Below are 15,405 nucleotides of genomic sequence, written 5' to 3' on the forward strand. Positions count from 1 at the left end.
CACACCCGGCTAATTCTGTATTTTTCTTTGAGACGGGATTTCTCCATGTTGGTCAAGCTGGTCTCCAACTCCGGACCTCAGGCGATCTGCCCACCTTGGCCTCCCAAAGTGCTGGGATTATAGGTGTGAGCCACCACGCGCAGCCAGATGGATAAGTTTCTAACTGTGAAAGAAACCAATACATCATCATTGAAAGAGACAAATGGTATTAAAGAATAAAAAAACTCATTAGGCTGGGCGCGGTGGCTCACGCCTATAATCCCAGCACTTTGGGAGGCCAAGGAGGCAGATCACTTGAGGTCAGGAGTTCCAGAACAGCCTGGCCAACATGGTGAAACCCTAAAATTACAAAAATTAGCTGGGTGTGGTGGCGGATGCTCACTGTAGCCCCAGCTACTCGGGAGGCTAAGGCAGGAGAATTGCTTGAACCTAGGAGGTGGAGATTGCAGTGAGCCGAGATCATGCCACTACACTCCAGCCTGGGCAGACTCTGTCTCCAAAACAAAAACAAAAACAAAAAACCTCATTAATCCCCATCTCTAAATTCCCCCTAAAGGCAACTATAGTTAAGTTTGTGAGGTATGCTTTCAGATGTTTTCTGTTTATATCAAAATATATTTTTATATAAATGAAATAACATTATATTTTTTGTAATTTATTTTTTAGCCTATTGTATAGGAGATAGAACATATTAGCCAGCCCCTTGTGCTAGTAGTTTAGGCTATTTTCAACTTGCCAGTGAAAATAATACAGCATTGAACATCTTTGTTTTAGTGTATCTTTGCATTTCTGTGAAATAGTTTTGCAGTACAAATGCTTAAAAGTGGAACTGTTGTTGCCTCAAAGGATACACAAATTGAAAATTTTGTTACATTTGTAAAAATGTGTTAAAATTTCTAAATTGCCCCTCAAAAGTTACTAATTTATACACGTATGGGTAGTACATTAGAGTTGGAAAATAAAGACTGTTGGTAATTTTTGTGTATTTAGGATAGGGGTCCTCTTACAGTAGTTTTCAACATGAGCCGGTCCATTTTTATTTTCTTTCTTTCCTTTTTTTTTTTTTCTTGAGACAGACTCGCTCTGTCGCCCAGGCTGGAGTGCAATGGCGGGATCTCGGCTCACTGCAACCTCCGTCTCCCGGGCTCAAGCAATTCTCCTGCCTCAGCCTCCTGAGTAGCTGGAATTACGGGTGTATGCCACCACACCCGGTTAATTTTTGTATTTTCAGTAGAGATGGAGTTTCACCATGTTGGCCAGGCTGGTCTCGAACTCCTGACTTCATGTGATTTGCCTGCCTCGGCCTCCCAAAGTGCTGGGATCACAGACGTGAGCCACCGCGCCCAGCCTATTTTCTTTCTTGTATCCCATTTGGAAGTCATCTAGCTGGATAATGGTTTCTGGATAATTGCTCTGGGAACTGAGACTCATAACTTTATGCTCATTAGCACTACGAGCTAAAAAAATGAGCTAACTAACTACTGTTATTTGTCTGTGTAAAGGTATGCATTTTGAAATGAAGACACATTACATACATGCATTTTTCTTAAAATTGATTTCCTGCATCAATTTTCTGATGACCATATATATATATATATATTTTGAGACGGAGTCTGTCTCCCAGGCTGGAGTACAGTGGCATGATCTCGGCTCACTGCAAGCTCCGCCTCCTGGGTGCATGCCATTCTCCTGCCTCAGCCTCCCAAGTAGCTGGGACTACAGGCGCCCGCCACCACGCCTGGCTAATTTTTTGTGTTTTTAGTAGAGACGGGGTTTCACCGTGTTAGCCAGGATGCTGTCGATCTCCTAACCTCGTGATCTGCCTGCCTCGGCCTCCCAAAGTGCTGGGATTACAGGCATGAGCCACTGCGCCCGGCCCGATGACCATATTTTTTTGTGCCAAATTTTAATCCATTCTGGAGGTTTCAAAGCAAGATAGTGAAGTTTATCAGTCCATATGAACTTGAGCCTGTACCAACACATGGTTGCCAGTTCATACCTAATAGTGTAATATGGCCCTTTTCTCTGAAGAAAATGCCTTTTCCAAATCTCCCTTACTAGAATAAATGTTATCATAGTAATACCACTTCATACCTGCATAGAGTTTTAGAGTTTACAAAGGTCGTTCACAAATATTATTCCGTTTAGTTTTTACAGCAACCCAGTGTGGTGACTGGGCAGTACTATTATCTCCACTTAATAGATGCAACAAGGTTGAACAAGCATGAAGTAGTAGAACTGGGACTAGTAGGGCAGTAAACTTCCCACAAGATATGTTGTCTCTTCCATATATATATGAGGATAGCATATTCCTTTCATAGAAATTTTATTCCATGATTGTAATAGTTGCTTTCTTAAATTCTCTTTAGAACAAAGTAAAATATAAGTTAAAAAAGGAAAGAAATCCCTACAAAAAAAAAGAGAATTTTTTTCCTTTTGGGTAATTTTCACATTACCTTTCCAAAATAAGTCATTCTTTTATCTTTTAGGTAAACTGTACCAAAACATCTATTCTGTAACATTAAAAAAAAAAAATGTGAGGATGGACATGGTGGCTCACACCTATTATCCTAGCATTCCGGGAGGCCAAGCTGAGAGGATTGCTTGAGGCCAGGAGTTTGGGACCAGCCTGGGCAACATACTGAGACTCCATTTCTACAAAAAACAAAAAAATTAGCTGTGCACAATGGCACACATTTGTAGTCCTGGCTATTTGGGAGGCTGAGAGGCAGGAGGATCTTTTGAGCCCAGCAGTTGGAGGCTGGAGGCTGTAGTGAGCTATGATTGCATCATTGCAATCCAGCCTGGGTGAGAGTGAGACCCTGTCTCAAAAAAAAAAAAAAAAAAAAAAGTGAACATCTAAGACGAGGACAATATAAAACCTCAATTCTGCAAGCAAATCACATTAAATGCTAGTCATACAATATATCAGTAAGTTTCATCATATTTTTTTCCTACAACTAACCATAATATCACAGGACTAATAATCTGTGATATACCACAGTTAAAACGTAATTCTTCTTGATTTCTTACTTATAAAGATCATAATTGCTGGTCAGCAATTGATCCATAGATAAGGTGATTTTGGAAAGAAATGATAAGTCTTGCCATTTTGAAAAGAAAAGTTTTTTTTTTTTTTTGAGATGGAGTCTCGCTCTCTTGAGCAGGCTGGAGTGCAGTGGCACTATCTCAGCTCACTGCAACCTCCGCCTCCTGGGTTCAAGCGATTCTACTGCCTCAGCCTCCCAAGTAGTTGAGATTACAGGCTCATGTCACCACGCCTGGTTAATTTATTGTACTTTTTAGTAGAGACAGGGTTTTACCATGTTGGCCAGGCTGGTCTCAAACTCCTGACCTCAGGTGATCTGCCTGCCTTGGCCTCCCAAGTGCTGGGATTACAGGTGTGAGCCACCGTGCCTAGCCAAAAATGATTATTAAAGAAAAAGATTGTTTTCCTTTTTTGATCCATAATGTCATTAGTCTCATTGATTTCAGTTTTCTGTCTTAACATTATGACTGTAATTTCTTTTTTTTTTTTTGAGACGGGGTCTCGCTCTTGCCCAGGCTGGAGTGCAGTGGCGGGATCTCGGCTCACTGCAAGCTCCGCCTTCCAGGTTCACGCCATTCTCCTGCCTCAGCCTCCTGAGTAGCTGGGACTGCAGGCACCCGCTACCACGCCCGGCTACTTTTTTTGTATTTTTAGTAGAGACAGGGTTTCACCATGTTAGTCAGGATGGTCTGGATCTCCTGATCTCGTGATCCGCCCGCCTCGGCATCACAAAGTGCTGGGATTACAGGCGTGAGCCACCACGCCCGGCCTATGACTGTAATTTCTTGTGTATCATTAGGTTTCAAGAAAAAGGATCTTGAAACCTTTTCTTGGGATCACGACTGTAATCCCAGCACTTTTGGAGGCCGAGATGGGCAGATCATCTGAGGTTGGGAGTTCGAGATCAGCCTAACCAACATGGAGAAACCCCGTCTCTACAAAAATACAAAATTGCTGGGTGTGGTGGCGCATGCCTGTAATCCCAGCGACTCAGGAGGCTGAGGCAGAAGAATCGCTTGAACCCGGGAGGCGGAGGCTGTGGTGAGCTGAGATTGTGCCATTGCACTCCAGCCTGGGCAACAAGAGTGAAACTCCGTCTAAAAAAAAAAAAAAAAAAAAGAAAGAAAAAGGATCTGGGCATTCTCAGTACCTTTTCTGATCTTTATCTTCAGGAAAGCCATCTCTATATAGTTGAGCAAATAAATACTGGGCTGAGTATCTGATGAACTGCACTCTGCATAGGTTGCATACTGAGAATGAACTTGGGCAGTTTATCTTTTCTGGGCTTTGGTTTCCTCATCTCTAAAATGAGAGGGCGTGTTAGTTCTAGACCATCATCCCAAGGGTCCATTTTAGCTTTAGCGTGCATCACTGTAAAACCTGTTAACAAATATTTGTTGAGATAAGGAATTCTGGTGTATAGCCAACATTGTGGGAATATTTGTGGATACCTAAATAGTGGTTTATCCTCTGGGGAAAGCAGTTCCTACAGCTACTAAATACTAACAAGGCCTATGGCTAAAATCAGGTAGCACCTTGTGATGTAATTCAAACCACTAGGACATGTGGCATGCAAGACTACATCAGGCTACTTGAGGTATTTATTAGGTAACAATTTTTTTTTTTTTTTGAGACGGAGTCTCACTCTGTTGCCCAGGCTGGAGTGTAGTGGCGCAATCTCGGCTCACTGCAACTTTCGCCTCCAGGGTTCAAGCGATTCTCCTGCCTCAGCCTCCCGAGTAGCTGGGATTACAGGCGCCTGCCACCATGCCTGGCTAATTTTTGTATTTTTAGTAGAGACGGGGTTTCACTATGTTGGCTACACTGGTCTCGAACTCCTGAGCTCAGGCAATCTACCCGCCTCGGCCTCCCAAAGTGCTGGGATTATAGGCGTGAGCCACCGCGCCCGGCCTAGGTAACGATTTTTGCGCGCTAAACGGTTCTTAGTAACCTGCAGAGTGAAAGCAGAGTACCTAAATATCATACTGTATACGTTAAAAACAGGGGAGAAAGGAAAAAAGGTGTTAAAGTTTACAGCAAAATGAGAAACAAATGAGGAAAACAAGTGAAAGCTTCTCCCGCAACTGAAACTCAACCTCTACATTTTACCTAGGTAAAATGGTAAAATTGCCCACAGGGCTCAGGTGTTTGGATGCACTGTCCAGGCCAAGAGGAAAGATTTTCAGCCAGTCTCCAAAACATCTCAGGGACGGGTATGGAAAACAGGCGTAAAGTGTCTGTATTGATCAAATCAACCCCAGAGAAACTTTCCTAGGGCCAGAGAGCATCTCAACCGCGAAAGTCCGTTTGCGGCCTCCTTCTCCACTTCAGGCCTGCAAAGCGGCTGACGGCATTCGCAGTGGCTAGGCAACGGCCCGCGCAGACTTCTCGGCGTTAGCCCCGCCTCTTGAGGCGCTTCCGCCGCCGGGCTCCTGGACACGCCTCCTTTAATTGGCTAACGTCACGCTGGGAGTGGGCGGGGAAAATATGTCAGACTGTGCGGTCACTTCCGGCCCGGGAGCGCGCGGGTTGATTCGTCCTTCCTCAGCCGCGGGTGATCGTAGCTCGGAAATGGCGGGTAAGTTACCGGGAAAAGTTTACCAAGGGGAGGAGGCGGCCAGATCGGGGATAGAACGCCGAGACGGTGGTGACAATGCCCGCCTAGAACTTTCGGGCTGTAGCCTGGGTTCCAGAAGGCCTGCTTGGGACCGGAAGCGCGGAACTCTCAGCCCAGCAGCTCCTTGTTGGCGGCGGTCCGCGCCCCCGCCCCCAACTGCTTGGGGTTCTGCGCCTTCTGCCAGCAATCCGGCCCCTACCGAGGGCCGAAGACGCCAGGGAAAAGCGTCATGATTTGGGCTCGTAAAATGCCACATGCCTTGGGGCCTGTTTCTCTTCCCATTCCTTTTGTCCACTGCTGCTTGCTTCAGCTCTTGTACATCTGGTCCTGTTCCCGCCAGCTGATTTTAATGCTCAGATCCTCCTCCTCTTCCAGGTCTCCGTCTACCTTCCACTACAGTCAACTTCTGAGCTAGCGCATTGCTGCCTTGCCCTGCTCTGGCGCTCCCACTTGGATCTCGACTGACTTCGTAGTCGTCTCGTTAATCTGTCACACTTTAGTATTCCGAGGATCGTATTTAGATGCCCTTTGAGAAAGACTTTGTTCCTGAACTGCTCCCTTCTCTTTTAGGGTTGGACTACTATAATACAATTCTCTTGTGTACATTCTAGAGACCCTTCAAGTTACAACATTTAATAATGTATAATTGCTATTACTTTGTACGTGTATTAAGGCTGTTTTGGTGTGATTATTTTTTTCGATTACTTATCTTTTGAAGTTATGGACAGTTTCTTTTTCCTGAGACAGGGTCTCTCTGTCGCCCAGGCTGGAGTGCAGCGATCATAGTTCCGGGCAGCTTCCAACTCCTCGTAGGCTCAAGCGATCCTCTTGCCTCAGCCTCCCGAGTAGCTAGGACTACAGGCATGCGCCACAACATTCGGCTAAAAAAAAACAATTTTTTTTAACCTTTTAGAGACAGAGTCTGGCTGTATTGCCTCAGGCCGGTCTGGAACTCTTGGCCTCAAGCCATCCTCTCGCCTCAGCTTCCCAAAGTGTTGGAATGACAGGATTGAGCCACTTCGCTGGCCTTTGTTGCTTTTATCATCTCTTTACAGGGCATTCCTCATAGTCTCTCTACATTAACCATTCCATTTTTATGAATATGTGGGATAGACAAGCTGTTGTGTGAGCTCTACAGATGTTTAAAGAAGGACTTTTCTACCAGATGGAGATTGTAGGATCTTGAAGTACCACAGAAGAGGGAGGACGTACTCTAAGAATTACATCTAAATTCGAATTTTGGGCCCATCATTTAGTAGTTGGATGCCCTTCAACTAAACCTCTTTCTAAGCCTGAACTTTTGAATGTAAAATGGGGTTGATGTAATACCTACTTATAGAATTGTGCAGATTGAGCTAATATATGATTTCACAGGTTAAATTTTGTTGCTTACATTCCTCGAAGTAAATTCTGTAATCTCGGTTCTGTAGATTAGGGTCAGAGGGGTTAAGTAATGTGCTCTAGTTCCCTGAGCTTACTAGCTCAGTAAGTGTGTGAAATAGTCAGAATCCAGGAATTCTCACTCCAGACTATTAATCTGTACTGCTTCAAGTCTTTCCCATTTTCTGTGTGTGTGTTTTAACCCCTTTTTGAAGTTTATAGCACATCATTGTACCCCTTTTTATTTTTTGCTTATGGCTTTTTTCTGTCTGAATTTTTACTGATTTTTTTTTTTTTTGGAGACTGAGTCTCGCTCTGTCACCAGGCTGGAGTGCAGTGGCGCGATCTCGGCAACCTTTGCCTTCTGGATTCAAGCAATTCTGCCTCAGCCTCCGGAGTAGCTAGGACTACAGTCACGCGCCACCACGTCCAGCTAATTTTTGTATTTTTAGTGGAGATGGGGTTTCACCATGTTGGCCAGGATGATATCCGTCTCGACCTCGCGATCCCCCTGCCTCGGCCTCCCAAAGTGCTGAAATTACAGGCGTGAGCCACCGCGCCCAGCCCATTTTTACTAATCATATGCCCATTTTGTCAGGAGATTTGTTATCTTGAAAGTTTCTCTTGATAGTGATATCTTCCAATGTTATTTATTATGTATATTATTGAGTAGCCACTATGTAGTAAAACTATTGTGCCAGTAGCTCACAGTTTATGACTTTAGGCATACATGATTTTTAAATATTTAATACAGTGGAAAGATGTTTTCTTTGTGCCCCTGTTCCTCTTCCTTCTTTCTTTACCCATGGTAACTATGGTTACCAGATATTTGTGTATTCTTCTTGAGACATTCCATGCATTATCATTTCCTTATCTGAAGCACTCTGGTAGACTTTTTCCAATACTTAAAATGAAATTCTGTCATAATTATCAGAGGACATTCTCATTTTGCTTTTTACATCTTATAATGAAAAAGACGACTTAGGTATAAATCCTAGCAGGTAATTTGTATTAGTACATGTTCAGAAATGTTAGTAATCTATCATGTTAATTTTCAGGTTTATTCATTTATATTAAGTATTCCTAGTTTATAAGCCTGTATCTCAAAAGTGATTTCTTTTTCTGTTTTGTAATGAGGCATTCTTTTTTTTTTTTTTTTTTTTTGAGATGGAGTCTTGCTCTGTCGCCCAGGCTAGAGGGCAGTGGCATGATCTCGGCTCACTGCACCCTCTGCCTCCTGGGTTCAAGAGATTCTCCTGCCTCAGCCTCCCAAGTAGCTGGGATTACAGGCGCCCGTCACCGTGCCCGGCTAATTTTTGTATTTTTAGTAGAGACGGGTTTCACCATCTTGGCGAGGCTGACCTCGAACTCCTGACCTTGTGATCCACCCACCTCAGCCTCCCAGAGTGCTGGGATTACAGGCGTGAGCCACCGTGCCCAGCTGGCATTCTTAATACATTTATTTAAGAGTATGTGGAGAATGACTTGTGCTTTTATGATCTATCAGCATGTTTTAAATCATACCCCTATTCCACTTATAATAACCCTATTGCAGGTTTGACAATTTAAGTCACTTCCAAACTAAACCTTTTAAAAACCTTTTCTCTTAGGATTTGGTGCTATGGAGAAATTTTTGGTAGAATATAAGAGTGCAGTGGAGAAGAAACTGGCAGAGTACAAATGTAACACCAACACAGCAATTGAACTAAAATTAGGTATGTATGCCATTTCTAAGTGATGTTATGTACATACTGTGTGTGTATATATAATCTTTCATTTTAAATTTGAAGTAAAATTTTATGTAAGAGCAGTTATTTATGCAAATGTATGGTTTTCTGCATTTATTGAACATATTCAGATTTTATTCAGTTTTGATTTATGTCATGGAAGGTGTAGATGTTTGAAAGGTGACAGAATTTTATATAAAAAGGAAAGACGGTGGGGCAAAAAGTAATAAGTATATATAGTTTTAGCCTCTTAAAAATATTTTTTACTTTTTTGCCTGTAAGAATAATAAACAATAGCAAATATTGGTGAGGATGTGGAAAAAAACACTTGTATATTGCTGGTGGGAATGTAAAGTGATATAACTATTTTGGAAAACAGTTTGGCAATTTTCTTTTCTGTCTTTTTTATTTTCTTTCCTTCCTTCTCTTCTTTCATTTCCTCCCCTCACCCCTTTTTTTTCTTTCTTTCTTTTTTAAAGAGACAAGGAAGGTCTCACTCTATCACCCAGGCTGTAGTGCCACGGCATGGTCATAGCTCACTGCTGCCTCCAACCCCTGGGCTCAGGCAGTCCTTCTGCCTCAGCCTGCCAGGTAGCTAGGAGACCACAGGTGTGCACCACCCAAGCCTGGCTAATTTTTATAAAAAATTTTTTTTTTGAGACGGAGTTTCACTCTTGTTGCCCAGGCTGGAGTGCAATGGCGTGATCCTGGCTCACTGCAACCTCCACCTCCTGGGTTCTAGTGATTCTCCTGCCTCAGCCTCCCGTGTAGCTGGGATTACAGGCATGCGCCACCACGCCCGGCTAATTTTTTGTATTTTTAGTAGAGACGGTTTCTCCATGTTGGTCAGGCTGGTCTTGAACTCCCAACCTCTGGTGATCTGCCCACCTTGGCCTCCCAAAGTGCTGGGATTACAGGCATGAGCCACCACGCCTGGCTTATAAAAATTTTTTCATAGAGATGGACCCTACGTGTCTATGTGTCCAGGCTCATCTTGAACTCTTGTCTTCAAGCAGTCCCCTGGCTTGGCCTCCCAAAGTGTTGGGATTATAACTGTGAGCCACAGCGCCCCTCCTGGTTTGACAGTTTCTTAAGAAGTTAAACATAAATGAATTATATGACCCAGGAGTTATACTGCCAGGTATCTGTCTACTCAAGAGAAATGAAAATGTATGTTCACGCAAAAACTTGTACATGAATGTTCATAGCTGCGTTATTCACAGTAGCCAAAAAAATGTAAGAAACCCAGATATATATCAGCTGGTAAATGAATAAAGTATAGTATAGCTATACCACGGAATACTATTTGACAATAAGAAGGAATGAAATTCTGATACCTATTGCAGTAAACCTTAAAAAGATTGTGCTAAGTGAAAGAAACTAAACAAAAACACCATATATTGTGTAATTCCATTTGTATGAAATGTTCAGAAAAGACACATCCATAGAGACAGAAAGTAGTGGTTGCACAGTGGAGCGCAGAGTAACTACAAATGGGCCTGACATTTCTTTTGGGAATTATGGAAATGTTTGAAAGTTAGATTGTGGCACAGCTCTGAATTTGCTAAAATTTTACACTTAGAACAAGTGAAAAATAATATATGCTCATGATTCCTGGTTGCATTACTTTCCATGCCTGAGTTTCCTCATTGTTAATAGTACTTCACAGTGGTTACAAAGATTAAATATGGAGTTAAATATCAGTAAAGTGTTTAAACTCCTTGACATGCAGAAAATACTTGGTAAGGGCTGAGTGGAGTGACTGGATGTGGTTGCTGAGATCTGCGTATTTTTTTTACATGTCCCCTCATTTTTCAATTACTTCATTCTTTGATAGTTTGATTACCTTGGAACATCCTGTCATCTGTTGTCTCTGCCCCAGCCTTGGAATCAGCCATTTCTCCAAGGATCCCTGGTTTCTTTTAGTAGGAAATGTTATTTTATTTTATTTTAGAGACAGAGTCTCACTCAGTCGCCCAGGTAGAGTGCAGTGGTGCGATCTTGGTTCACTGCAACCTCTGCCTCCCAGATTCAAGTAATTCTTGTGCCTCAGCCTCCGTAGTAGCTGGGATTACAGGCATGTGCCACCAGCCCTGGGTAATTTTTTTGTGTTTTTAGTAGAGATAGGGTTTCGCCATGTTGGTCAGTCTGTCTCAAACTGACCAAGTGATCCACCTGCCTCGGTCTCCCAAAGTGCTGGAATTACAGGCATGAGCTACTGCACCCAGCCAGGAAATGGTTTTTTATTTTGAGATGGAGTCTCACTCTTGTCACCCAGGCTGGAGTGCAATGACGCGGTCTTGGCTCACTGAAACCTCTGCCTCCTGGGTTTAAGTGATTCTGGTGCCTCAGCCTCCCAAGTAGCTGGGATTACAGGCACCCGTCACCACACCCAGCTGATTTTTGTATTTTTAGTAGAGACGGTTTCATCATGTTGGCCAGACTGGTCTCGAACTCCTGACCTCAGGTGATCTGCCCACCTTGGCCTCCCAAAGTGCTGGGATTACAGGCATGAGCCACCACCCCCAGCCACAGGAAATGATATTTTAAAGCCAAGATTCGGGTGCTAAAGCCAAGATCTAGGTGCTAGGTGAACACATTGCTGTTAGTATTGCTCTAGCATTAATGAGAGCAGGCTTAGTAGATAGAACTTTATTACTTACTGTTCAGTCCCTGCCACCTGCAAGGTGACTACAGTCTCATTTCTTTGACCAAAATTAGCTTTCTGTGTTCTAGCACTTTATATAAATGGAATTATACCATATATACTGGCTTTGTGACTGGCTTGTTTCATTAAGCATAATTTTTATGAGGTACATCATATGTTGTCTGTACCAGTAGTTCATTCCCCATTTTTTTTGTTGTTGTTGTTTGAGACAGAGTCTCACGCTGTTGCTTGGGCTGGAGTGCAGTGGCATGATTGCGGCTCAATGCGATCTCCACCTTCTGGGTTCAAGCGATTCTCCTGCCTCAGCCTCTGGAGTAGCTGGGATTACAGGCGCCTGCCACCACGCCTGGCTAATTCTTTTGTATTTTTAGGAGAGACGGAGTTTCACTATGTTGGCCAGGCTGGTCTCGAACTCCTGGCTTCATGATCGCCTGCCTTGGCCTCCCAAAGTGCTGGGATTACAGGCGTGAGCCACCGTGCCCGGCAGTTCATTCCTTTTTATTGCTGAATACTGTTCTGTTGTTGGATACATCATTATTCGCCAGTTAATAGATATTTGAGTTGTTTCTAGTTTTTGGCTGTTATTGTATGAGTTTTTTTGTGGACATATGATTTTATTTTGGATAAATTCCTAGCTGTGGATTTGCTGGGTCAATAGGGTATTTGTATGTTTAACTTTATGGGATACTTGGCCAGACTGACTTCCAAAGTACTTTTATACTCACATCAACAGTGTATTAGAATTTTCGTTATTCCATATCCTCACCAACATTTTATGTTGTCAGTTTTTAAAGTTTTAGGCATTCTACTGGGTTTATAGTAGTATTTCTTTGTTAATAGTACTTCATAGTGGTTGTAAAGATTAAATAGGTTTTAATTGTCTTTTCCCTCATAACTAATGCTATTAAGGATTGTTTTTTTAATGTGGTTATCGACTATCTCCTTTTGGACTCATGTATTCACATCTTTTGCCCATTTTAAAATTAGGTTATTTGTCTTTTTGTTATTAGTTGTAGGTGTTATTTACCTACATATTCTGGATGAGTCCTTTATGCAGATTACATGTTTTGTGCACATTTTTCTCTCAGTTTGTGGTTTGCCTGTTCATATTCTCAACTTTTTTTGTATAACTGGAAGTTTTTAGTTTTAATCATGTCCAGTTTATTAATTTTAAAAATTTCTATTAGTGTTTTCTGGTTCATGCCTAATATCTTTGTCTACCCCAAGGAGATCATGAAGCTCTCCTAATGTTTTCTTCTGGAAGGTTTTTAGTTTTAGCTTATTAAAATTATGTCCATGATCCATCTCATGTTATTTTTCATGTCCAATATGAGGAAAGGGATTAAGGTTTGTTGTTCCATGTGGATATCCACTTGTTTCAGTATAATTTGTGTGAATGCCTTGGTGCGTTTTTAACAAAAAAATATTGAACTTACACGTGTGGATCTACATCTGGACTTTTCTCATTCATTGTCTGTTTTTCTGTCAATATCGTACTGTCTGGATTAGTGTAACTTTCTATTGATTCCTGGTAGTGTGAGTCCCACATCTTTATTTTTTAAAGATTGTTTCGATTATTCTTGACCTTATTTCTGTATACATTTTGGAATCAGGTGGTTAATTTCTATTTAAAAAGTTCTGACTAATCTTAAGATTACATTGAATCTAAAATTGAATGTGGGGAGAATTGCTATCTTAATAACATTGAGCCTTCCAGTATATGAACATGATGTATTTCTGTATTCTAGAAATGTTTCAGGTTTTCAGTCTTGCATGTATTTTGTTAAATTTATCTGAGTAAATCTACATCTTTTGATTTTTGATGCTCTTAAAAATGGTATACTTTTTTATTTATTTATTTTTGTATGTGTGACATGTTCTCACTTTGTCACCGAGGATGGAGTGCAGTAGCGTGATCTCCACTCACTGCAACCTCTGCCTCCGAGCTCAAGTGATCCTCTTACCACAGCTTCCCGAGTAGCTGGGACTCCGCATACACCACCATGCCTGGCTAATTTTTGTATTTTTTGTAGAGACAGGGTTTCGCCTTGTTACCCAGACTGGTCTTGAACTTCTGGGTTCGAGTGATCTGCCCACCTAGGCCTCCCAAAGTGCTATTACAGATGTGAGCCACTGTGCCTGACCTAAAAATGATATACTTTAAACATTTTCTCTTCCAATTGCTTGTTTTATGTGTGTGCATGTGCATATGCATGGACACACAATGGCACAGTTTGTGTAATTGTTTTGTATTCTGCAACCTTGCTAAATTCACTTATTATTGTAGTTTTTTGTATTCTGGGCTTTTTCTGAGAGAGTGGCTCACTCCATTGCCAAGGCTGGAGTAGAGTGGCGTGATTGTGGCTCACTATAGCCTTGACTTCCCAGGCTCAAGCGAACCTCCCACCTCAGCCTCCTGAATAGCTGGGACTATAGGTGCGTGCCACCATGCTTGGCAAAATTTTTTTTTTTTTCTAGGGACAGGGCCTCACTATATTGCCCATGCTGGTCTTGAACTCCTGGGCTCAAGCAATCCTCTTGCCTCAGCTTCCCAAAGTGCTAGGGTTGCAGACATAAGCCACCACACCCAGCTATAGGATTTTTTTTTTTAGATGTAGATTATTTCAGATTTCCTGCACACAAACATTACCTGTTAATGAAGAAAGTCACAGTTTTTCTTTGCCTTATACAGTTGTCCATTGGTATCTTCAGGGATTTGGTTCCACGATCCCCCGTGAATACCAAAATCTGCCGATGATCCGGTCCATTATACAAAATGCCATAGTGTGGCTGGGCATGGTGGCTCACATCTGTAATCTAGCACTTTGGGAGGTTGAGGCAGGCAGATTGCTTGAGCCCAGGAGTTTGAGACCAGCCTGAGCAACATGGCAGAACCCCATCTCTACAAAAAATACAAGAATTAGCCAGGCATGATGGTGTGCATCTGTAGTTGCTACTCAGGAGGCTGAGGTGGGAGGATCTGCCTGAGCCCAAGAGTTCTAGGCTGCAGTGAGCTGTGATTGTGCCACTGCACTCCAGTGTGAGTGACAGAGTGAGACCCTGTCTTGATAGATAGATAGCCATATAGCCGGGCATGGTGGCTCACGCCTGTAATACCAGCACTTTGGGAGGCTGAGGCAAGAGTTCGAGAAGACAAGCCTGGTCAACATGGTGAAATTCCGTCTCTACTAAAAATACAAAAATTAGCTGGGCGTGATGGCACACACCTGTAATCCCAGCTACTTGGGAGGCTGAGGCAGGAGAATTGCTTGAGCCCAGGAGGTGGAGGTTGCAGTGAGCCGAGATTGTGCCACTGCACTCCAGCCTGGGCGACAAAGCAAGACTGTGTCTCGGGGGGGAAAAACAGCCATATAGTACAGTCAGCTCTTTGTATCTGCAGATTCTGTGTTTGAGGATTCAGCCAATCTCATGTTGATCCGTAATTGGTTGAATCAGTGGATGTGGAACCTGCATATGTGGAGAGCCACTTGTGTTTCATTTTCTTGCCTTACTGCACTGGCCAGAACCTCTATTACAATGTCAAATGGAAGTGATAGAGTAGACATCCTTGCCTTATTCCCAATTGAAGAAGGAAAATTTTGAGCCTTTCACCATTCACTATGATGTTAGCTGTAGGTTTTTCATATGTGCCCTTTATCAGGTTGAGGAAGTTTCCTTCTATTCCTAGTTTGGTGAGAGTTTTTATTATGAAAGTGTTACCTTCTAATGCTTTTTCTTTATCAAGATAATCATAAGATTTTTCTCCTTTAATTCTGATAATGTGGTGAATTACATTGATGAGGTTTTAAGTGTTAAATTAGCCTTGCATGCCAGTATATTATCCTTTTTCTGCTTTGCTAGATTTGACTTGGCAATGTTTTGTTAAGACTCTTTGTTCATGACAGGTAATGGTTTCTTTTTTCATACGTCTTTGCTTGATTTTGGTATCAAGGTTTCCTGGCCT

General features: G+C 42.4%; 1 protein-coding gene and 1 long non-coding RNA gene across 4 annotated transcripts in view, besides 2 other annotated features; one reads left to right on the plus strand and one right to left on the minus strand.

Moving 5' to 3' along the window:
* Positions 1 to 68: 68 nt before the first annotated feature.
* Positions 69 to 5,509, minus strand: LOC105373740 (uncharacterized). The gene is made up of 3 exons (XR_923579.2): positions 5,159 to 5,509; positions 4,200 to 4,351; positions 69 to 163 (listed from the first exon to the last, which is right to left on the minus strand). It is a non-coding gene; the product is annotated as an uncharacterized LOC105373740 (long non-coding RNA).
* Positions 5,017 to 5,665: an enhancer, noted in NCBI's record as "H3K27ac-H3K4me1 hESC enhancer chr2:172778407-172779055 (GRCh37/hg19 assembly coordinates)". NCBI's record gives its function as "activates a minimal SCP1, AML or CMV promoter by ChIP-STARR-seq in naive H9 embryonic stem cells {active_cell/tissue: H9 hESC(naive)}" and the evidence as "EXISTENCE:reporter gene assay evidence [ECO:0000049][PMID:30033119]".
* Positions 5,581 to 15,405, plus strand: part of HAT1 (histone acetyltransferase 1) — a 61,226-nt gene continuing 51,401 nt past the window's right edge. For 2 of the 3 annotated variants that reach the window (NR_027862.2, NM_003642.4), the window contains exons 1-2: positions 5,581 to 5,627; positions 8,657 to 8,761. Coding sequence is in view for 2 of the 3 variants with exons in the window: in NM_003642.4 (NP_003633.2) it covers positions 5,621 to 5,627; positions 8,657 to 8,761 (112 nt within the window). In the remaining variant the exon portion in view is untranslated. Of the gene's footprint in view, positions 5,628 to 6,041; positions 6,238 to 8,656; positions 8,762 to 15,405 lie in introns of all 3 variants that reach the window. The other variant, XM_006712808.4, reaches the window with a different exon arrangement.
* Positions 5,806 to 5,855: an enhancer, noted in NCBI's record as "active region_16760". NCBI's record gives its function as "activates an Ori minimal core promoter by ATAC-STARR-seq in GM12878 lymphoblastoid cells {active_cell/tissue: GM12878}" and the evidence as "EXISTENCE:reporter gene assay evidence [ECO:0000049][PMID:35858748]".

Source organism: Homo sapiens, chromosome 2 (assembly GCF_000001405.40).
Source record: "Homo sapiens chromosome 2, GRCh38.p14 Primary Assembly".
NCBI lineage: Eukaryota > Metazoa > Chordata > Mammalia > Primates > Hominidae > Homo > Homo sapiens.